The sequence below is a fragment of the Homo sapiens genome, chromosome 1, assembly GCF_000001405.40.
Source record: "Homo sapiens chromosome 1, GRCh38.p14 Primary Assembly".
Lineage (NCBI taxonomy): Eukaryota > Metazoa > Chordata > Mammalia > Primates > Hominidae > Homo > Homo sapiens.
This window is the reverse complement of record NC_000001.11, coordinates 59,856,760-59,879,465: the sequence shown is the minus strand read 5'-3', so window position 1 is coordinate 59,879,465 and position 22,706 is coordinate 59,856,760. Positions and strand designations below refer to the sequence as shown.

The following is a 22,706-nucleotide window of genomic DNA, read 5'->3' as shown; positions in this document are numbered from 1 at the left end:
TGTAAGGGCATGCTCCTTAGGTGGACATATGGTAATTTTTATGATGTGAAATCTATTCACCTTTTGAATTACATCTCTTAGTACTTCTCCTGCCAAAGTACTGAACTATTACTTCCCTAAATAGGCCAGATCCTTCATCATGTCTTTACAGAAGCTAGTTTTTCTGCAAGAAATGTTTAATTATACCTGGCAGACTCCTATTCATCCTGTAAAGGCCAGCCTAAACGTTAGCTCTCCAGTGACATTTTTCTTGACTCTTGGTTAGTTGCTCCTTCCTCCATTCCCTGAGAATTTAATTTAAAAGGTTTTATTTCCTATTTCCATATAATCTCCCAATTAAAATGAGCTTTTCAGAGGTGACTGTGTCTTGTTCACACACATTCAGTACCTGTTTCATGCATAGCAGATGCTCAGGAAATGTTTGTTGGACACACAGTGGAGGTGAGGGGTAGGGGAGAGCAAGCAGCCAAGTGACATTAATGCTGCAGTGTGCCATAAATTTTCCGTAGCCATGCAGCAAGCCATGAACCTCTATATTTCTTAATTTCACATTCTGGAAAAGGTGGGCTTTAAATACTGGTTACTGAGGTCACTCCTACTTTCAAAAATCTGACTTGTGGCGAGAACTTCTGAAATGGTAACTTAAGGAGCTCCAAAAATCCATTCCATAAAAGCACTGAGAACGTGAGCAAAAATAATCAAAATCAACATTTTCAGAATGCTGAAAATTAAAGTCTCAAAACAACCTGAGCATTTGTTTAAAAAAAGAAGAGCTGCTCTCAGTAAAAACAGGGAGCTCTGTTTTAACTTGCCCTATGCCGGTTCTCCTCTCCCCAGCTCTCAAGTATCCTTAAAAGCAACAGTCTCACAATTATGGTAGCTGTGAATACCCGTGATCAAGCAGCCACTGGAGGGAGCAGAATGGGTTTGGAGCACCCCAAAGGCCCCATTCCCAGAAAGTTGTCATTATATGACCTCTCTGGCAGTTCCCTGAAAAGCCCCATTCTCAGAACTTGTCTTTGTTTTACCTTACTAAACGCTGATTCTGTGCAAACCACACTACAGGACATTTGTTAAAAAAAAAAAATCAGTGACAATTGTGCAACATTACAGTAACCCAAGGTAGCAATACAAGTTGGAATTAAAACAGAGGATTAAAAGGATAAACTGGAAATAGAGATGCCCACCGGGGCTTCTAACACTCTAACATATGCCTAGGAATCTAGAAGACCATGCACATGTGAGGGCTACATGCATACCCAGGCAAAGACCTGGAAAGACTCGAATCTCTCATCTCTGGCTGACTGTGAGGGTCTGTGTAAGCAAGAAACTAAGGTTACAATAGAACTGTAAACTACCTGCTGGAGTGTTGAAGGTATAATGCAAAACACACGCAGAGCCCTTTGGGAAAGGCTGAGAGACTTATTTCAAAACATTCAAGGAAATCGCTGTCCAAAATTAGCTGGATACTTTGCTTAAAAAGCACAGAATTCAGTGGCTGCACATGATGAAGAATGGAATTTTTACAGAATTAGTTCAAGTCTCTAAACAAAAGGCAATAACAGTAACAATAATACACTGTGGGGCGGGGTCTGATTTCCAGAGTTTCCACATATTACTTATAATGCCAAATTTCCAATAAAAAATTATGAATCATGTGAAGAAACAGAAAACAATGGCTCATAGACAGGATAAAAAGAAGTTACTGGAAACAGTCCCTGAAGAAGCCCAGGCATTGGATTTACTAGACAAAAGCTTTAAGTATGTTCTATGAGCCTAAGAATTAATTATTGGATAAAGAATTAAGTTAAATATGAAAATGATTTTCCACTGAACAGAAAATCACAATAAGGAGTCAGAAATAGAAAACAGCAACTAACTAGAAATTCTAGATTTGAAAAGTACAATAACTGAAACAAAAAATTCACTAGAGGAACTCAGCAGCACATTTGAGCTGGCAGAGGAAGAACCAATACACTTGAAGATAAATCAATGAGATGATCTATTCTGAGGAGCAGAATCAAGAGAGAATGAAGAAAAATGGGCAGAGCCTTGGAGACATGTGGGACACCAAGTAAAAACGGGTGCATAATGAGAGTACCAGAGAAAAGGATAGAAAGAGGAAGAAAGTATGTTTCAAGAAATAATAGTCAAAAATTTCCCAAGTTTAATGAAAAGCATTAGTCTGCAGATCCAAACTCAACAAACTGCAAATAGAATAAATTTGAAGAAGTCAACACCTAGATCCACAACTCATCATCTTTTTGATAGTCAAGCTGTCAAAAGCCAAAGACAATGAGAGAAGCTTGAAAGTTCCATATCCCCTGGAACTTCAGAAGAATGTGAATTGCGTACATTCAAGCTAGATATCTAGAACAAAGCTGTACCCCACCTAGTTATATTGGAATCTGGGAAGCACAGTTTTGGTTTTCTCTTTTTTTCCTGGATAATAATGTAACAAGCTAAAATATGGGATTCCATCACTAAAGTTAAGAGGGGTAGAATGGATATTCAGGGATAAATAGCAGTCTCTAAAATTATATTACCCAGGAATGTCTTGTTTTTTTTGAGACAGAGTCTTACTCTATCACCCAGGCTGGAGTGCAGTGGCACAATCTCAGCTCACTGCAACCTCTGCCTCCCGGTTCAGGCGACTCTTGTGCCTCCGCCTCCCAAGTAGCTGGGACTACAGGCGCCTGCCACTGCACCTGGCTAATTTTTGTATTTTTAGTAGAGACGGGGTTTTGCCGTGTTGGCAAGGCTGTTCTCAAACTCCTGACCTCAAGTGACCTGCCTGCCTCGGCCTCCCAAAGTGCTGGAATTACAGGCATAGCCACCACGCCCGGCCCCAGAAATGTTTTGATTCCGTGTTAATGCAAGATGTCTAGGTTCCAGAGGTGAAAATGGAGACATAAAAAGACATATTCCCAAATCATTTAATATATCTTTTCATTCCCCAAAAAATTAAAAGGAAAAACAAAATTAGAAGAATGCAATTACTTTTTCTTTACAAACCTACATATTTTCACTCCTCTATTTAATGCAGCAAATAAACATGCATTTATGCCCACTAAAAACCCATCAAAATCAACAGACACAGAAGCATAAAGTTTATTTACTTAAATCATTTCACAACTATTATATTGATAATGGACAATCATTTATTTAAAATAATATCCTAAATACTTACAAAAATAAATCAAATATTGGTTTTATTTTTCAAGTGTCAAAGTCTTTGCCATAGAAAATAGAAAGGACCTTTTATAAGCTAAACATTACATTTGTGCTACATCATTTAATAACTCCACACTCTTTTATGGTTTGTGCTTTACAAATTTCCAAACTACTTCTTCACAATGTACAGGTGCACAATAAAAATGTATGCATACGTTCACATACACACATTTTTACATAGGAATGTTTCTCATTAAATACACATTTAGTGAACTTAACACAGACACTACTGTGGCCTAAAGGCCATCCCCAAGCCCCAGGGTCAGAAGTGCCCTAGAAAGAAATAGGTATAGATGTGGAAACATTATCTAACATTCAAATTAGCACTCTAATTATCAGAAATGATGACATAATGAGGAATACTCACTTTAATATTTCTAAAAAAGATGTCATTAATCTATACTAAATCATTTGACAGCCTTATTCATCGAAAAAATAAACTTCAAATTTTCCTCAATACATAAGTTAATCTCAACATAGACATCACTGCCATACGTACACACCCTTAACCTTAAAAAGAAAAGGAATTTTAATCTTAGAGCAAGTGCTTAACATTGAAGATCATTTGCAAATTGGTCTGTGGTTTTACTTTATAATCACTAGGACATTTAATTCCTTATCAAATAGACAAATGCTGAATATCTCTTCATTGGTATATGTACTCAAGCCTCCCTTATAACACAGATGTGTATAAATCATGGTTCAAGATGAAATGTTTATAATGCTTTACCACCCACAGGGTGTCAACTCACTACATTAACCAGATGTGGAAAAGAATCTCACTTCTGATCAGTTCCTGAATTTCTGTATGATTAATCACAATAATACAGAACTTTAAATTACATTAGTCTTATATAAATACTTACATATCAAACGTTTTGAATCCTACTTATCAACTAGAAAAGTGATAAATCAGAAATTTCCTTTTTCTCTATTAAGAAAAATGAATCTAGCCTTATGTCCTTATTCAGAAATTGCATGATTTAGAAGTTCCAAGTATAATGATCTGATCTGTGAAAACACTAATTTATTAAAGTTAATGTTTTACAATAAATTCCTTTAAAACGGAGTTTGAAGGGCTTGTAAAATCTCAATCATAAGCAAGTAGAAACACCAAAGGGGCAGATGTCTTCGCTGACTAAAATATGTCAAAATGCCATAATATTTAGAAAATGTTAAATACCATGCTAAAATATTTTCAAAGGCTTATTTTATTTTACCAGAAGTCACAGGCAAGCAGACACTACAAGAATATATGAAAATGAAACTCAACAATATAACTGTATCAAAATCTAAGAGGTAGTCAACAGAAGTAACCCTGATAGAACAACATATCCTGACAGGTGCTCCCTAATCTCGGAGATGCAAATGCAGTACGAAATTCTTGTATTTTCAGTAAAAAGTTACCAGGCAAGAATCTAAAAACCAGGTATCTAAAAAATAATAATACTGTAAATGGAACAATACTCACACTGTATTTGCAAAGAAAGTCTATGAATAAAATTTAGACCACAGCTCTACAGCATGCAAGCCAAATCTGGCCTACCGCCTGTCTTTGTAAATAAAGTTTTACTGAAATACAACTATGCCCATTTTGTTTATATATTGTGTATGGCTGCTTTAACTCTATAATGGCAGAGTTGAGTACTTGCAACAAAGATCATGTAGGCCACAAAGCCTAAGACATTTACTAAAGTATTTACTCTTTGTCCATTCACAGAAAGTTTGCAGACCCCTGGTCTAAACACACTGCTGATAGGTATGTATGTTGAACAGCACTGAAATGATTAACTATGGTTGTCACAGCATAAGGTATTCAACTGTATGGAATGTAAGATGCTAATTATGTCACAATTCAGTTCCTTTTTATATCTGAAATAGTCCTAACATTTTTCTTCTTTTTGTGGTCTAACATCTAATATCAAATAGTATTTCCAAGTTACTATAAAAAGATTATGGTACTATCCAATAGAACTTTCTGCAATGATGGAAATATTCTATAGCTGCCCTGTCCAATATGGTACCCACTAGCCACATGTGGCTATTGAGCATCTGAAATGTGGCTGGTGCAACCAAGAGACTGAGTTTATAATTAATTAAATTTAAATTGTCATATATGGCTCATGGCTATGATATACGACAGCACATATTTAACACAACTAAAATTCAAAAGTGCTAACTTTTAAAAATGACCCCAAAAGTTCAAAAGTAACACCTCTGAAAATAAGAGCTTTGGGCAGAAACGAACTGAATACCACAAACTGAGCCCAAGATAAACTCCTTAATAAGTAAACAAAATCAAACTGATCCCACCTTGTTTCATCACTGCAACATCCCTTTTCAATGAAGCAAAATTATTATATGATACAATTTTTCAGCAGAAGCTAAATACAACTTTATGCTTAAAAGCAATAACTGAAATCTTCATTAATTACCTTAAAAAGTATATAGACATTTCACAAAAAGTATATATATATATATATATATATATATATATATATATATAGCTTGCTTTCCATCAGAAAGTCACCTATTACAAATGTCAGTTTATTTCTTATGCTTAACATTTTAAACATGATGTCCAGAAGCCCTTATTTGCCATAGGTACAAATTAGAACTATGAGATTAGATTTTCAGAATATGCAAAATTTCCAATTAGTCAATTTTATTATTCCAAAGTCATTCCAATTGTCAGATCTTCCAAATGTTGTATCTTCCATGACATGACAAGGTAGAGGTACACATTCAATGGAAGAATTAGGGGACAGAAGTAAAGCCTTGTATATATTAAGTCAAAGAAATCACCCTTGCATAGTTCTCCATGTCCCTGCCTCAAGACTGTTTTCATATAAATCAACAAAAAACAAAAAAAGATTAAACAAATCCAATTAATGTTCTAAGATTAAGTATTACTGAATAGCTATTGAAAATTAATTAAGTTACTAATACAACTGAAAACATTTAACTAAAATATACAAGGCCAATTTGAAATTATAATACTCTCAAAAGACAAATGTTTGTTTGAAATGTGTGTATAACTGCATCTCCAATTATTCAAATGTGCTCCCTCAGAGAGATGGCTAATTCTATAATTTGTTTTTAAAGTCAACTGGCAAAATTAATTTGATGCATGTTGATTTTAAAATACCTGATATCCCGCATCATAAACTCTTTTTCAATCTGGTAGTTAGTTGAAAGGTACAAAATATTTTAAGGACACTTCTATTTTATGTGGTTTTTTTGTTTTGTTTTGTTTTTTTTGCAGTTTAATCAGATGTTGTAGCAGGGACTTTAACAGAGAGATTTCTTCTGGTGTTGGTGATGTGCCGTTGCTGCGCTAAGAAAGACCGCGCAGGAGTGCACGCACCAGTGTCACTGCAGGCACCACCGCCGCTCACAAGTCTAGATTCCATCCCCAGTTTCTGGAATGCTAGACTCTGAAAAAAAAAAACATATATTTTTTATTTAACATGACTAAACAGAGTTTGCCGAGTGCTTCTCACATAAAGACACTTAATCCTTAAAACCAACCTATAAAGCTAAGGCTTTCCTCATTTTTATAGAAAATAAGGGTTCAGAAGCTGATTAATCTATGAAATGGTAATGCTAGTAAGAAGGCACAAAATCCATTTTCTCTATTTAATCACTAAATTTAAAATTATTTAAAACAGTAACTTAAAAGAATGGCCTGGAATTAGACTTAATTATAAAAATTTTTGTGTTTGGGCCATCACCGTACCACCTATGAGCAGACATGTCACAACAGAATGGCTTAGATCAAAGGTTCTTGAAGGGTGGTCCCCGGATTAACAAGATTAGCATCCCTGGGAATTTGTTAAAAATACAAATTTAGGGGCCTTACCCAGACCTACTGAATCAGAAGTTCTGCCAGTGCGTCTAGCAATTTGTGTTTTAACAAGTCTTCTGAGGCAAGTTAATGTTTAAGAACCACCAGTATAGATTAAATTTACTATAGTCTATCTCAATATTGATACCTGATAAATTACCATATTTTGGCTGTTGAGTTTCTTATAAGGGAAGTCATTACTCTCCCACTAGACCACATAACACAATTTTACTGAACTTAGCATCACTAGTAACTAGTACAGTACATGGATATTAGATGCTCAACAAATATAGGCTGAAAAAAATGAATCAATCATGGACTACCTGGCTACAATATCTTCACTGATTTATGTATCAAGAGGTCATGGAAGAACAAATAAATAATACACAGTCACTGATCTCAACTAGGATGACTGACTCATGAGAGAAAGTTCTGAGAATACCTCACACATAATTTCCTTCAGGGCCCTTTAAGCAATATTTTACCCAACAGAAGAAAGGAAAGAGCTCAGATGAAAAGCATGGTGTCATGAAAGCATGAGCCATGTTTCAGGAAGAATAACTAGTGCTTTCTGGTGGAGCACAGCATTCACACATGGGAAGTTTATAAAGTGATATGCCTTTGTATAAATAAGAGATAAAAGTAGATAATAGCCTATTCTGGCTGACTAGAATAATGCAAAAGAACCATATACATCATGAAATGCTACTCTTGAAAATATCCTACTGATACTACCAATGACAAAATAAAACACATTTCAAACTATGCTATTTTCTCCTTGGTAGTACAAAGAGACAAATAGGAAGAGTAACCCCTGGATAAAAAAAATAAAGTAATAAATACAGTAAAGGACACACTGAGGCTTTAGAGGATGTTAAAATAAATACTGAGTAACTAGAAGCATTTAATTTTGCATTACACAGATCTTCATATTTCTTCAGAAACCTTTTATGGGCAAAAATTGAGTGTTTCAGCTCAAATAAGGCAATTTTAAAAAGGTTTATGAATTATTACACCTGTGCTTCAATACGTATCAGCTAAAGGCTGATGAGTCACAATATCAAGTTAGTGGATTAGAATCAACATTAAAGGAGAATATGACAAAATATCTGAGTGCAATACACAGGGTAACTTTTGTTTCAGTCATATACATAAACATGCTATGTCTTGGTTTATGGTATAAGATAAAATATATTTTCTTATGTTGTACTTGGTCAAAAAAAAGTTTGCTTAAACACCGTTCTCATCCAATCATTTGCTGAACTTCAGCTCACCTTATTATACCACGCAGAAACAATGAGTTTTTCTTCATAATCACGGAATTTTGCTACTTTGCATTCACTCTGGAAAAAAGATATGAGAACAATTAAAATCCCAGAAATTACCCCAAATTACTAAAGATAGAATAATTTCTTCACTATGTTCATTATTGAGAGAATCTAAAGATTGCACTTGTGAGGCACACAATGTAGTCAAATGTAAACTGAATCAAGCACAAATGCATGCCCAACACCTTTAGGAAAGAATAAGGTTTGTGACTAATAAACCTTTATTTCAAGAAATTTACAGGTAGAAGAGAATGATTTAAACATACATATACACAACTAGTGATTTTAAGGCTACTGCCCACCATATCTAGAGAAAAAAGTAACGAGTGGCTTAGGTAAACGAAACAGAGCTGCACCCGTGGAGGGGTCAAAACTAAGGAGAAAGAGGACATAGTCAAAAATAACTGGAAAAATCTTTTTAAGTTGCCTATAAAGTTTAATACAAATTTTTCTCTCTTAATTGTTGGTGGTCTGTGTACTAGATTCCATAGCCGTATTTATGTGCCATCACAGAGACTGACATACTTTTCTTGAGTACCAGATATAGTTTGGTTTATATAAGTACTATTATCTTGATACATAGGATGTTCATGATACAAAAAGTATATAAGAACCAAGCCCAAAAGAGAGGTGATGCCCTTCTTCAGACTCACATTCACTCCAGGCACAGAATTCCCAGAGGGATGGCAGATAGAACAGCCCCTGCTATTTACATTACATTTCTCCTTTTTACTTTTTGCAGTGTGTGTCTAGATGAATACGCACAAATTAAATGCCCATGTGCTGTGACTTAACCTAAGCTTTTCCTCAGAGTCTTATAGTTACAGGGACTATTTTCTCATCATATCTGTTGGGGATGTACATTTCAAACATCAATGATGGTGTATATTTTCACTGACTTTCACTGGGACATAAACAGAGCAACTTAGATGTCAGCGATTATCCAATCCCAGTCTCACCATTTTATAGATGAGAAGATGGTGAGCCAGAGAGGAGAAGTAACTATTTTAAGACAAGAAGTTACTAATAATGCTGCAACCCTGGCCTCTGATTTATGTAATATTTAATGTTAGGGGTACAGAGATAAAAGATAGGCTTTGCCCTCAAGACACGTCCACATGTACCAAAAAGAAAACCAATGCTGTTGTGGAATAAATTCATGAGTTTGAAGTACATGGACTCAGTGTGGAGAGTGAGACAGTATTAAACCTCCCCTAAGGAATACAGGGAAAGTTTAATAAAGAGATATTTGACTTAGAATTTCAAGAATAGCATTTCTTCAGACAAATCTCCCTACCCAGTGCTTTTGAGAACACACAACATAGCCTGGACAAGCACTGATAGCAAGGGCGTATCGGGTTGGTGTCGTACTATGGATGTAGGAAGAATGGTGTTGTACTATGGATGTAGGGAGGAGGGGGTGTTAAAGTCTTTAAGTCTTTAAATAAAAATATTTCTACCACAGTTCATACCTACTTGCTCAAATACCAAGAAAAAGGCACATAAATAGAGTGCATTTCTTTGAAATATAACATTCCTAGATGATTTAAAAAGAAACTGAATACAGCTAGGTGCGGTGGCTCACGTCTGTAATCCCAGCACTTTGGAAGGCTGAGGAGAGCAGATCACTTGAGGTGAGGAGTTCCAGACCAGCCTGGCCAACGTGGCAAAACCCTATCTCTACAAAAAATACAAAAATTAGTTGGGCGTGGTGGCATGCACCTGTAATCCCAGCTACTAGGGAGGCTGAGGCAAGAGAATTGCTTGAACCTGGGAGGCGGAGGTTGCAGTGAGCTGAGATTACGCCACTGCAACCCAGCCTGGGCGACAGAGCAAGACTCCATATCAAAAGAAAAAAAAAAAAGAAACTGAGTACCATTTATGAGAATTTCAAGGCCAGTATGTAGAATTCAATATGGCTCTGCAATTATGCATATGTTATTAAAAGGAAGTATATATTTACTTCAAGAATAGCATCAAATCTCACTACAGTATTAAATACAGTAGCTTTGTAAAACACTTTGCAAAGGAAACCAGAACGTGCTCAATTATAAATCTAAGAATACAGAATTCCATAGTGACATACTTACCTAAGGCTCATAAAAATAATATAACCACTAACACAAAAATATCTTTAAAATTTAAAGACTCAGCTAATTGATGAGAGCATGCCATTACTAATATAATTTTGCATGATTAATAACTAAGAATTCCACTTTAGTTCAGGAGTTCACTGGAATTCTGTGAGTACTTCCTTCTCCCAGAAATTCCACTATTAATAAGTTTGTTTAGGTTCAGGTGAGAAACGGCTGAAGACAAGAAAAATGTGATTGACTGAATCAACACAGTATCTTTTTTAAACGGTAAAGGTCAGGTTTATATCCCCCAGATGAAATCATATTTGCATAATTTTAAAAGAAACATTATAGCAGGTCTCTATTAGAAAGTCAGGGATAGCCATATAATGCCTGTTATTGACAAGAAGAGCTACAACTACAACGCTGCATATAAACAGGGTATATGAGCTACACACAGAGCATCTATTGGGCGGCCAGTGAGATGCTTTGTAATAAACACACTGGGTGCTAAAACATGACATTTTTAACTTCTTGTAAAACTTGATCATTAATGACAAATATATGACAGCAGTTAATTACCAGGATTCTACAAAATAACTAAAAGATGAGTAAATATAAAAGTTTTACCTCCAGAATCTCAATTCTTCTCTCTTTCTCTGCCAACTGCTTTCTTAGTAGCATTATTTCAGCTGATGCTGGATTTAACTTGGGATCCAAAGTTTTTATTACCTGTTTAAAGAAAAAAATACTATGTTCACTTTATATTTTAAAGTATTAAAACATATAGAACATATCTTACAAAAACTGTGTAAGTAAGGTGGAAAATAATCCACAAAGTCATCCAAGAGCTAACTGTAGCTTGTTTTACAATCCTAATTGGGATAACAAAAATAACTCATTCTATATACAAGAAACAGTACAAAAATTCAGTACAAAAATATAAATGTCCCCATTCCAAAAACAAATTTCCCTTCTCCAAGGCTCAGTACATGGAAATAGTTATTTAGCCTTTTCAATACTCAAACTTTAGGCATTAAAGTCTTGAAATAATCCTTTCTGTATTTATTTGACTTGAGAATTTTTAAAAAAATCAAAATGAATTCAATAACTCTAAGGAAACATTGATTTTATAAAGTAAGAACAACACACAGAAGAAATTCTTAGCAATAATCTTTTTTACTATTATTATCCAGTCAAGTGTAATTCAATATATAAGATCAATATAATAAATGCTGGTGATTTTATTTGCAAAAGGTAGGGTGCTGAATCGCATTTATGTTATTACTAAAAATTGAGTAAAAAGATATGTTTGACCAGAATGTAGTAAAGAGATTCAGCTAAACTATGGAGATAGCAATCTGTTAGAAAACCAATTCAGAAATGTCAAGAATATATTTCAAGCAAAAACCATAAATTTCAAACAGGGACATCTGCATGATGTAATTATAAAACTATTAAAAATATTTAAAATTATTTAATGAGTTAGGAAAACTTCATCTACATTTATAGAGGAAAAAGAAGAAGACTGGATGGTAAAATACCAAAATACTATTGTGGCTCCTTCATTCATCCAAAAATCATTTATTGAGTGACAACTGTGTGGTAGATACTGGCAGATGAGGATTCAGCAATTTATTGGAGACATGGTGCCTACCCTCATGGAATGCACACCATAAAAGCAGAATACATTGAATAATTTATATCAATTTAATTACAAAGAGCAAATCATAGTTTATTATCTCTAAGTGATAAATGGTTGTGATTTGTATATTTTCTGAATTTTCTACAAGGACATGTTATTACTTTAGCCAGTATCTTAACCATTATTTAAACCTCTTGCCCCAAATAAGGTAATGGGAAAAAAAATCATATTTATGAAAGCAAGCAACTGTCTTTTAAATGATATTAATCAATGGTGGCAAAAATGTGGTATTCATTGTCATGGTTTTGTTCAATTAGTTATAGTCCTCTTAAAATGTCATTTAGAAATACATATCAGGCATCTTATGGTCTTATCCTATGACCCAATACTTCCATTTCTAGGAAATAAGGTTAAGATAATAAACCAAAATAAAGAGAAAGCTTTCTGTATAATTATGTTGACTATAGTCTTATTTATAGGAGCAAAAAAGGAAAAGGAAATGAATACAGATTATTTCCAATAGTAGGATAATGCTTAAGTAAACTCTGTTATATCCCACACAACTAAGTATTATGTAGGCATTATTTTACTTTTGCAAAGTCTGTTCCATAAATGTAGTGTGGTCACATGCCTGCGCTCCAAAGTGGGAGTGAAAGTGATTTATGCTGTTTTCAGGCCTCGCCCATTACATATCTCCTATGCAATCTAGGCTGTCTTTCTTCATTTGACCTAGTTGGACAAGGTCAAGTGAACCTGGGATCCCTATGCTGAAGAAGGCAGAGCCTCTGTCAGCTTAGGACTCTGAATGACTACATGGAGAAGTGCCCCTTCCCCATTTATGATTGGACTCAATGTGACTATGAAGTAAACCTCTACCTTTTTAAACCTTGAGTGTGATGAACATTTGAAAAGCGTTTAACTATCTAATCTCAAACTAAATGCTACAACAATTTCAAATACATTTAAAAAGCTAAACTTTTACAAAAGATAAAATATCCATTTTGCTGTTTCTAGAAAAATTGTATTCTTAGAAAATTTGCAAAGATTCTAGCAAATAAGAATTCTGGGCTTATTTTGCCAAGAACTAAAGATTCCATACATTATAGCCATCACTCTCTCTGACATCACGACAGTCTGTCTAAACAGTCCCTATTAGCTATGGCCTATTTTATCTGACACTGATGAGTGAGACTAAGAGTATGAGAACTGATTGGGAAATACTACGGAAACCTGACAGGTAAGGCAATACAGTTAAGAGAGAAGTGATTAGATACAGATACAAGAATGGCAGAAAAATCCAGTGAAATGAGCCTTGCTAAAACACAGGCCACAAAGTCTTGAGCTCCGAAAGATAAGTCACTCACATTTCTGGCTTTCTCCAAGTACATTTTATATCTTTCCTCCATTGCTTTCATATCTTCATCTTTCTTCTGAAGAGCAGCTTCAAGTTCATTGATCTTTTGTACTATTAGTAAAAATAAAATGAAGCATAATCAGTTATTAATATTTACTACCTATTAAAATACTTCATCCTCACATAAAATTATATTTATAATATTTATTTTCTAAAGACGATAACTTAAAAGAAAAGCCTGTTATTTATTCTTTGTAGTGAATTCTTATCTAAAAGTTTTGAAATACAACCAACACATTCTCAATCATTTATTATTTGACCCTTAAAAATATCTACAATCTGCTTTATTTAGTTCTTTTTCTCCTTTCTATCAAGTATAAATAGCAAATATACCTTACAGTAAGCACAACCACAAGAAAAATAAAGCATTTCTACACAATGTTTTAAAGTTTATATCAATCTGATTTGAAATCATTTTTACCCACATTTCCAGATTAATCTTATTTTTTAATGTTTGATACTCCCATATATCCATCAATTCATTTTATTAGATTTTTTGCTTTAATAATATATCTTTTATTAATGACTTCAGCACTAAAAATTATCATAGTCCTTATTTACAATATATGTATCTACACATTGTGCAAAAACTTACACATAGACCTTGGATCCTTCAATAAAAAAGGGTAAGTCCTTAGATATACTGTTGTCTGATCCAAGTTTTCACAGATACCTACCATTTTGATTTATATCTGGCTGAAGATCTTCAATGAGTTCTTGTTTCTTCTGTAATTCTTCATGGACCTCTGTGAGTTTTTCCCTAAGTGGTAGAAAAAGCATGGAGACTGGTCTCTGCCATATAACATTTGTGGACCTTGGGCAAGTTGCTTTCTGACCCTTGGTTCCTCATCTGTGAAATGGGAATACTATCTGCATGACTGCAGGGGTTGTCATGAGGATGTAAACAGTCAGGCACACGGCAGGTGCCAAAAAGGTTAAATTATTTCCCTTGCCACCCTTGCTTCCTAAGAAAGTAAAATATTTTATAGGTTTAACATCCCATATAATCTAGTTGTGATAGTTAATCTGTTTTTTTAAACTTTTCAAATGATATTAACAATGGAAAGATGTAGGAGTTTGGAACGGGGGTAGTAGGGAGGCTGAATCTTTAGCATGCTTTTCACTTTTGCAGCAGGTGTATCAATTAGCATCAGGATATTTGCTTTTCTAGACAAAATCCGAAAAGGAGATTAACTTTAGAGGCTTTTACAACCCCTCCCTTCTCATATTTGAAAAGAAATATCAGTTTTACTTACATATGAGCTTCCAACTTCTGCTTTAATTTGCTGGACTATAAAATTTAAAAAAAATTGCTGTAAGATGACTATCTTGACAAAGGTCAATTTTCCAGACATCGAAATCTCTTTACCTCCTTTTGAAGGTGTACCAGGCAAAATTATAAATATTTTTAAAATTTGTATTTCCAATAACACACTTTAAGAAGCATAAACTTTTTAGGTTCTTTTTTTACTTCAAAAAGGAAAGGAAAAATAGAAAATGAAATATAAAAAGGTACAAAAACAGAAAGAAAAATGCCTCATGTTTCTGAATGTAATAAAAATTAAATCTGAACTTGAAAAACACCAAATGCAAGCTGAATGTGATATACTGAGGAGTATCAAACATTAAAATATTTTAAAAATCATTTATTCAGAATAAAAATTTTAAGATTTTGGGCCTCTTATGAGGAACAAACTTAAAGATCTAAAATAATTATCTTTATAATAAAATTTTATTATAGTTGTAAATACTTTAATAACTAACACCAAAATGAAGCAACTGAATATTGTTAAAAAGCAAAATTTTAAACATACAATTTCCTCTTTTAAAAAACAGTACTTTAAATTGCAATAGTCGTTCCGCATCTATTGTATAGGTGAAGTATTTAAAATATATAATCTGAAATACAAGTTGGATACCAATATATTAAAATAATAAAGACATTTATCTTTAAAACACTGCCAGCCAAAATGTGCTCCCTGCAAAATACCTCATTTTAAAAGTATTCTCTAGTATGGCTTAAAATAATATTTGTATTAGAGAAGTTACAATACCGTATATATGCACATATGAGATGCCGCCATGCATGAGACGATTTCTATTTTCCAAGCCCCCAGGGAAAAAAAAAAGAAAATAATATAAAGCACATAAAAGACAGAAAGAAAATGCAACTCTTTCAATTTTCCTTTTCATCTCTTTACTCTGCAAAGTTTCCTCCCCCATCAACACAGGTATAATCACCTAGCATTTTATCTAATCTCAATCAATCAAGATATCCCTAACACATATCTAGTCCTTTTTTCTTGTTATTTTTAATTAAGTACAACAATCCCTCAATCATTACTTCTTTTTCTCTTCACATAAAAAGATCAAACTGTAGAAAAGTTGCTAGGTATAGTCAGATTTTGGCTAAGTTTGATCTCTTTTAAATCCTCTTATCTCTGCTCTCACAGTAGCTGCTGTCAAAATCCATCAGAAAACGGTAAGGCCATGAATCATTAAGGAAGGAGAAAGAAATGAGTGATGCCTCCAAGGCTGCATTAAAGTTTCTGTCCTTCAGAGACGGGTATAATCCATTTTTGGCATGCTCTTTAGGTAGAAATCATTTTCCCATTCTCTCTTTTCCTATTAGAAGGTTTCCTCAATTCTGACTGCTAATTACTCTCATTTGGATTTTTCTCAGGCCAGCCCTGTTGGAATTCCAGCAGAACTATGAAGGCCTCAATTGTAGTATGCTCTCAATCAAGAATCATCATGAACTTTGGTATAGCTGCTAAATGATGTTGAATGATGATTAAGAATTATCACGAACTTTGGTATAGCTGTTGAAGCAGGACAGACAGAAATCACCTTCCAATGTAGATGATCAACTGACAGGCTCCAAGTTGGCAAAATCACTGCATCTATTATGCAGATATATACGGTATTTAAGGGTATTCTCAATGATAAGGGCTGTACTTTCCAATACAAGATTAATTTGGACATCATGATCTATTAAAGAAAAGCCATACACAGCAGAATTATTATAATTTCTAAGTTACTTACACTTTCGCCTTCAGACTTGGAACCTTGTTCCTGTAAAGATTTCTGGAGGTCCTCAATCTGCTGCTGCAATTCTCTAATACGCTCTTTGCTCAGCCTATTGTAAGATGGGTCATAAGCATTTACTTGTATTGAAAGTCAAAGCAGTTAAGGATCTACAAAGGTACATTCAGTTAGCAATTTAAGTAAAAAATATTTTTATAGCAATGACAAATGCGGAATAATTATCTGTGCCTAGGTACAATATGAAGTAGGGCAGGCTACTTCTAAGAAAATACTTTTTAAAAGAAAACTTTTTTCCTGAAAGTATATATGCCTACATTTAAAATTTTAAGGAACTTAAATGTCGGTGGCAAAAAATTTCTACACCGCACTCACTGGTAGAAAAATCAGAAAACCAGCTCAATTTTTCTACAGTTGTATTTTTAATGAATGAAAACTAGATTTCCATCTTCTGTTTCAGATTTCACAGCGTATTGGAAGAGGAAGGTCACCATTTTCCAATCATTTCCACAAGTTTTTTTAAATTTAAATTAAAGGGAGTGCCACTAGCAACTAACTCAGATTCTAATGTGGCAAAATCTCATTCTTTAAAACTGTGCTTAAGAGTTACTTCCACTGGAAGTTACTAGCAAGAGTTAGTATCTCCCTCTCCCTCTATGTGTATCCACACATACACACTCACCTGCCTGCTATAATATTCCACTGTTGCAGTTATCACATAATATAGCAATTATCTATTTACATGTCTGCTTTCCTATGTTAATTCCTTAAAAGCTTAAATGATTTCCCCAGTGCTAACAACTTGTATTGAACTGAATAAGATAGTAATATGTAATGGTCTCTTCAGAAAAGTGTTAACAACTGGTATTGAACTGAGTAAGATGATAATATTTAATGGTCTCTTCAGAAAAGTGCTAACAACTGGTATTGAACTGAATAAAATAGTAATATTTAATGGTCTCTTTAGAAAACTAAATTGTTATTCTTCTTTTAACCACCGTTTATGTAACCTTATACACACAAGTTTGAGAAAGGTAAGATTCAAGTATGTCTAAAATTTCTGTTGGTGTCTAGGATTCAATAAAGGTTAAATAAATCCAAATACCCTTATAGTAAGTACACCATTTATAACAGGGAAGTTACCATAGTAGTTAGGAGTAAAGACTCAGTAATCAGATTGACAGAGAGTTCATTATGGAGGATCCAGAACTACTAGGTGTATAACTTTAGGTATGTTATTTAACTTCTCTGTATCCATATTCCTTATCCATAGAAAAAGAGCTATTGGTTACTACATGGTTACTATTTCATAGAGTTATTATGAGGATTTACTGAGTTAATAGCAAAAAAGTACTTAGAAAAGCATATAATAAGTTTTGAGCACTTCATTGATACCACATAAGCACATCATTTGCTTTAAGCTCATTATCTGCAGTCTTCCTAACAACTTGTATTTACACCTGAAGACACTGAGTGTAAGTTTAAGTAACTTGTCCAGAAACAGTTAATAAGTTAAATTAGAAGTGGGATTTAAATTTGATTCCACAATCTAGATCTTATCTATGCACTAGACTTCAGTAGAAAGCCAAACTGTCATTTATTCATTTGTCAAACTTTCTGAATTGTGAACATATCTAAATGAAATTCAAGAATAAGTAGCCTGGTGGGCCAGACACAGTGGCTCATGTTTGTAATCCCAGCAACTTTGGAAGGCTGAGGCAGGTGGATTACATGAGGTCAGGAGTTCGAGACCAGCCCAGCCAACATGGTGAAGCCCCATCTCTACTAATAATACAAAAATTGGCCAGGCATGGTGGCTCACGCCTGTAATCCCAGCACTTTGGGAGGCCAGGGTGGGTGGATCATGAGGTCAGGAGATTGAGACGAGCCTGGTCAACATGGTGAAACCCCATCTCTACTAAAAATACAAAAAAAAATTAGCCAGGCGTAGTGGCGTGTGCCTATAGTCCCATCTACTTGGGAGGGTGAGGCAGGAGAATCGCTTGAACCCGTGAGGCGGAAGTTGCAGTGAGCCGAGATCGCGCTACTGCACTCTAGCCTGGGTGACAGAGCAAGACTCCGTCTCAAAAAAAAAAAAAAGAAAGAGAAGAAAACAAATACAAAAACTATCCAAGCATGGTGGTGCATGTCTCTAATTGCAGCTATTCAGGAGGCCGAGGCATGAGAATCACTTGAACTGGGAAGGTGGAAGCTACAATGAGCAAAGATCACGCCACTGTACTCCAGCCTGGGCGACAGAGGGAGACCCTGTCTCAAAAAGAATAAAAAGAATAAGTAGCCTGGTTAACCAAGAATGCTGAAATTAATGGATTATCCATATATTTTATAAATATAACTGAAATGAATCACCTGACTTCTTTCACAGAGAGAAGCTTATAGTGATGAAAGACTACTAACAAAAATATTAAACTATTTCTAGGTAATTCTAATTACTTTAGCTACAATAATATTTTCCATTTCTGTGAATCAAGATTTTATGGCTCGGTAATAAAATCACCAAGATTTTCAGTTACTAAGGAGCATATCACCTCTGCTCAGTTTCCAGTTCATTCATTTTACGGTGTTTCTGTTCTAGCTGCTCCTGAAGTTCCTCAATACGTTCATTCTCAGAGCCTTCTTGCTGTAAGCGAAGCATCTTATTTTCATGTTGCAGTCGAATAAACACCTCCCTGATGTTACAAAGCAAAATCTTTTTTAATTTTTAAAAATATGAGTCATTATATTCTTTAGTTAAAAAAAGGAAATTCCTGTCCACTCAATAGCTACCATTTTAAGATGCAAGCAGGACCAGCTAGCATAGCTGGTAGGGTATGAAACTCTTAAACTCCAACAAAAGCTTCTGAAAGTGTTTAAGAAAAAATTATGTAAACTGCAAGACTGTGCCTTTAAAAAAAAGCAGTCAAATTTTATAGGTACCATATAAGATTATGCTATAAATCATTAAATTGTTATTATGCCATTCCTGAAGAGATAATAGAAATTATATTACTTTGGTAATTTAGAAACTATTCGCTAAAGGAAACAAATAGTATATGCTTAGAAAACACATAAAAGAAAAGCAATAGATTTAAGAAACTATAGTTTGAGCAAAATTTTAATATATACCTTATAATGGCAATAAGAAAGTTTCTAGATCTTTTGTTTCTGAAAAAAATTTTATTAAAGATTTACATGTACTTTTAAAAAATGCAACTTTTTATTAATATTATTGATGTTAATATTATTTGTATTAAATAGGGAGGTAATACTCTCCCTTAGTTGTTCCCCTGCCAAATCCCATTCTTCAAAAGCAACTAATTTCAAGTAATCTCAATTTTTGTTCTTCTGAATGCCAATAGTATAACTCTTAAAAAAAAAGCTCATATGGCTATTTTTTAAATTACTAATTTTAAGTTAATGATTGACTCCCCACTAAGCAAGATAAGTAACTTTTCTCCCTTTATACATTTACCACTTCTCCCATCAAAGGCTTGTGAAATCATATTGATTTTTGTTTTCTAATAATTTCCTAACTTTAAAGTATATACTTAAATCTCCCTAGTTAAAGCAATTATAACATAGCACATGGGGGTCATGTCATATTATAAAAACTAAAATATGTTATTCAACGGGTTTGTGAAATTTTACTTCTGATAAAATTTTAAATTGTTGTGGTAGCAATAATAATATGATTTAGAAAGTTTAAGTAGATCAAACAGTAATTTTCAGCTCTATGAGTCATAAAATAAGTTTTTAAAGGCCAAGACATTTACAAAAAACAAAAAAATTATAATATTAAATATAATTCTATCAAATTATGAAACAAATTTACCTATATTCCACTGGCATAATCTCAGCAGCAAGATTCTCATAACTTTTTGTAGCAGATGCATCTAAAAAATAACAAAAAATAAATTAGCATTTCAGTATTTCAACTATTTTAAAAAACCCTCCCTCCTTCCCCCCCTCCCTCTCTTTGTTTTTCTTTCTTTCGATAGGGTCTCTCTCTGTCCAAAAACCCAATTCCCCGCTCCCCTCCCCTCCCCTCCCTCCTCCTCTCCTTTCCTTTCCTTCCTTTCCCTCCCTCCCGTGCTCCTTCCTTCCTTCCTTCCTTCCCTCCTTCTTTCTTTCCTTTCTCTCTTTCTCTCTTTTTCTCTTTCACACCAAGCCTGGAGTGCAGTGGTACAATCATAGCTCACTGCAACTTCAAACTCCTAGGCTCAAGTGATCCTCCCGCCTCAGCCTCCCAGAGCTAGGACTATAGGCATGCGCCACCATGACAGGTTAAGTTTTTATTTTTTGTTGAATGGAGTCCCACTATGCTGCCCAGGCTGAAACTTTTCTAAATCTAACAAAATTAACCTGTTTGGTTTAGGTGGTCCTGTTGTACTTGTGAACATCGAAGCTCTTCATTTGTTTCTTTCAAAGTATCACGCTGCTCAATTAGTCTCTGAAAAGAATTGTTGATATCAGCAAAGTATTTAATTCTGCCTATAAACAATGTACTTTATGCTTACAATTTATCTTAACTAGTTTAATAATTGTTGCTTAATTTTAAGTGACAATGTTTTAGTTTTAAGAAGCTCATTTTCTATTCAGTTACATAAATAGTATGTGTCTTTATACATGGTTTTGACTTTCCCATCAGATAGCTTATCTTTGAACAAAATGAATGCAATTATGTAACAGAGGACAGATATGCAACGGGTAATAAAAAAGCATGGACTTTGGAGGCATAAAGACCATGGTTTGAATACCAATTTCACCACTTCCTAGCTATATTGTCTTAGGCAACTTATATAACTCTTTGGCTTTAGTATCCATAACTTCAAAATAGGAATACTGATACATAAACCCTTGCAAAGGTGTTCTGAATAACAAAGGTGGTATTAGTCAAGGATCTAGAATATAGGTTGGTGTGTAAGAGACGCTGGAGACTAGTTACTTTTTACCACTGTTGTGAAACTCAACTGGAAGAAGTGGTAAGTAGTATCCTGGAGATACACATTGGCGGAAAAACACCATTTCCCAAGGACAGCAAGCTGGTACTTCATATCACTGACTATTTTATTTTACAGCCTACACCAATGACAAACTTCTAGGTTACGAACAGAACGTTCATGTTTAAATCATTTTCCCAGAACTTGAAAAGTACTACTGAATATAAAATCATGTGTTAAATGCTGTTATGTTCCAAGTCAATAAACAAAGCCCTAATTAGTCCATTACGTGTTTCAAATCAATTTAGCAGTAAACTGGTAACTGATTCAAGGGGTCCGTAGGTGCCTTAAGGATCTCTGAACCCTAAAGTTGGAAATCTAGCAGGAGCAGGCACAAAGACCTCTGTAAATCTGTTCCTCCATTAACGTAATGCACACACTAGCACATTTGTCATTATCAACTATTTCAGAATTCTGGGAATAAACCAAAGGCCTACAACAGTCTGGTGAGCATTTATTAAAGTAAACCTGCTAAACCTTGGTTAGAACAGTAAGCTTTTTGCTCTTTTAACTTTTCTAACTATGATTCCCGTCTCCCCAGCTCTGCAGTAACCTTGAAAACAAGCAGCCTTTCAATTGCTGTAGCTGTGAAAACCAGCAGCTCTAGCAGCCACCAGAATGGGCACAGACTGGATGGATATGGGGCTCCCTTAAAAAGCCCCATCCACAGAGAATTGTCACTGTTTAACCTGTCTTGCAGCTTCCTAAATCCCATTTGTAGGGACTCTTCATGATTTGACCTGAGTCACTGCTTGCTCTGCAGGAAATATTTCCGAGACATTTGGCAAATAGAATCATCAGCAACTGTTTGCCACCACAGGTACTGAAGGCTGTGATAATGGCTATGGTACACAAGAGCCTGGCCAAAAATTTGCAAGAAAGATCTGAGAAATAAGATGCCCATAGGAATCTTTAAAAAGCTCTGACATGTTCCCGGAGATCTCGAAGGTCAGCCAAGTACAGGGCTGTGCACATGCCCAGAAAAGACATGAGAGGGCCCGCATTGTCTCAGCACTGGATAAACATGAGGCCCTGAGCAAACAGGAAGGCAAAGGCAGAATTTCAAACTGCCTAAGCACTGAAGGTGTTTTATAACACACATACTGTCACAGCCTTTA

General features: G+C 34.6%; 1 protein-coding gene across 6 annotated transcripts in view; it reads right to left on the bottom strand.

Annotated features, from left to right (window-relative positions):
• Nucleotides 1–3,143: 3,143 nt before the first annotated feature.
• The window catches only part of HOOK1 (hook microtubule tethering protein 1), a 61,374-nt gene continuing 41,811 nt past the window's right edge, over nucleotides 3,144–22,706 (bottom strand). For 3 of the 6 annotated variants that reach the window (NM_015888.6, XM_047422225.1, XM_024447520.2), the window contains exons 13-22: nucleotides 20,951–21,038; nucleotides 20,421–20,481; nucleotides 19,138–19,278; nucleotides 16,589–16,682; nucleotides 14,800–14,834; nucleotides 14,221–14,303; nucleotides 13,494–13,594; nucleotides 11,115–11,216; nucleotides 8,356–8,424; nucleotides 3,144–6,671 (exon numbers count right to left, since the gene is read on the bottom strand). In NM_015888.6, the coding sequence (NP_056972.1) occupies nucleotides 6,501–6,671; nucleotides 8,356–8,424; nucleotides 11,115–11,216; nucleotides 13,494–13,594; nucleotides 14,221–14,303; nucleotides 14,800–14,834; nucleotides 16,589–16,682; nucleotides 19,138–19,278; nucleotides 20,421–20,481; nucleotides 20,951–21,038 (945 nt within the window). In that variant the 3' untranslated portion in view covers nucleotides 3,144–6,500. Of the gene's footprint in view, nucleotides 6,672–8,355; nucleotides 8,425–11,114; nucleotides 11,217–13,493; nucleotides 13,595–14,220; nucleotides 14,304–14,798; nucleotides 14,835–15,597; nucleotides 15,642–16,588; nucleotides 16,683–19,137; nucleotides 19,279–20,420; nucleotides 20,482–20,950; nucleotides 21,039–22,706 lie in introns of those variants that run through there. The other 3 variants (XM_047422230.1, XM_047422232.1, XM_006710676.2) reach the window with 3 other exon arrangements.